Source organism: Homo sapiens, chromosome 2, assembly GCF_000001405.40.
Source record: "Homo sapiens chromosome 2, GRCh38.p14 Primary Assembly".
In the NCBI taxonomy this organism is placed as follows: Eukaryota; Metazoa; Chordata; class Mammalia; order Primates; family Hominidae; genus Homo; species Homo sapiens.
In genome coordinates this window covers 57543745-57545370 of record NC_000002.12, presented here as the reverse complement: position 1 = coordinate 57545370, position 1626 = coordinate 57543745, and the positions used below count along the sequence as shown (strand labels likewise).

The window sequence follows — 1626 nt, the reverse complement described above, 5'->3', positions numbered from 1 at the left end:
TTGGGAATCTGGACTGTCCTGTATTAAAAGCCATTTCTGTTACAGGCTGACCCTGTCTGAAAAGGTCTTCTGGCATCAGAATATGCACCTAGTCTGTGCTACTCTTCTTGCAGTTACTATGTCCTCTGACAGAACTGCTATTCCTTTTCTGGCCAGACCTCAAAGGACCCAGATTTCTGAGAATATGTGACTATTAGTATAATACTTACCTCCAACCCTACCCCAGCATCACTATGTATCAGCCCAACACCAGCATCATATATTACCTGAATGTAAGATAATCTGTATAGCCTCAGTAAGTCTTTTGGCTAAGCCCCCTCACAATTTTTTTCCTCTTTTGGTCTTTGGAAGTTTCAATAGGAGGCAGCATATAAGTTTGTATTTTTATCACTATTCTGTGCATCTGTGGTTTTGGGGGAAGAAATAGTCACTTGTCTAGAAGAGAAAGGGCATTATTTGTTCTCATCTGGAATGAGAAAATTCCTCTTGAGCAGTTTACCAGGGTTGCAAGCAAAAGAGGACAAACATATTCTACCACTCCCTGGAAACTTTTCATGGTGGTAGAATTTGTGGAGCTGAGTGACACAGGCTCTCTATTGTAACTCACCAAACTCAAGATGCTGTGACTAAAACTCATGCTACTCCTCAGTGGTTGGCATGTCTTAGTTCAATGTCAATTTTGTTCTAAGAGATCAAAACCATACATTCTTACATGAAATCCTTACCATCAGAGTATTGTTTAATGTCTTCTCATTTTATGATAAGCTTTTATTCTTCAGTATTAAATTGGTCTATATAATCATTTCAGGTCAGATATTTGAGCAACATCATTACAGAGAAACTTTGATTTTCCACAATTTTCAAAATAGAGCCTGGTTCCAGAGCTCACAGAGAATGAGGGTTCCTAGGAGTTCAGCCCTGAGTTGCTAATTTCTATTTTGACATTAAACCTGGGAAATGCTTTTTAGACTGTCTTGAGAAGATTTCGAGGAAGGAGAAGAAAGAGAATTCAATCTTTTATTAAGCCGTTAAGCTGGTTTGTGAATTCTAAACATGTGGTAGGAAAGGAATGAAGAAAGTTAGTGCTTCTGACCTTCTTATCCCTAAAAATAGTTATTATGTGAATAAAAAGTTTACCATCCTGAAAATAAATATTTCAAAGGGAAGAAAATGTCAGAAGATTTCGAGACTATGAAAATTAGTTATGTGAATACTAACATTAGAACTCTTAACATTGGCATAGCACAACATTACCTGACCAACTCTTTGGCATCTCTTTAGATTTCTATCACACTGTATTGTAAATTGTCTGCCCCATAGACTTTATTCTCAGTAAAGTAATAAACCCTCGTGTATACTTCCTTGAAAATGTCATGCTACCTAGAACATATTTAAAGTATAGTAAATATTCATGACTATTTACAAAATGACTGCTTAATTATTTTTACCAAAGATAAATAATGAAGACATCTGCTGTGAAAGGCACAAGGAAATGTTGAAATGAACATATTAATTAATTATTTATTTAGGATGTACTTGTTGAATGCCCACCGTGTGTCATGTATTTTGATAAGCTCCTAAGAGTATTTAGTTAGGGAGATAGAGGTGGCAATGCATTCGCCAGAT

The 1626-nt window shown here is 36.2% G+C and overlaps 1 non-coding gene across 1 annotated transcript; it reads right to left on the bottom strand.

The window, feature by feature from the left end:
- Window positions 1-771: 771 nt before the first annotated feature.
- LOC124900539 (small nucleolar RNA SNORD78) lies at window positions 772-836 on the bottom strand. Its single transcript, XR_007088730.1, has one exon. It is a non-coding gene; the product is annotated as a small nucleolar RNA SNORD78 (small nucleolar RNA).
- Between the last annotated feature and the right edge of the window lie 790 nt (window positions 837-1626).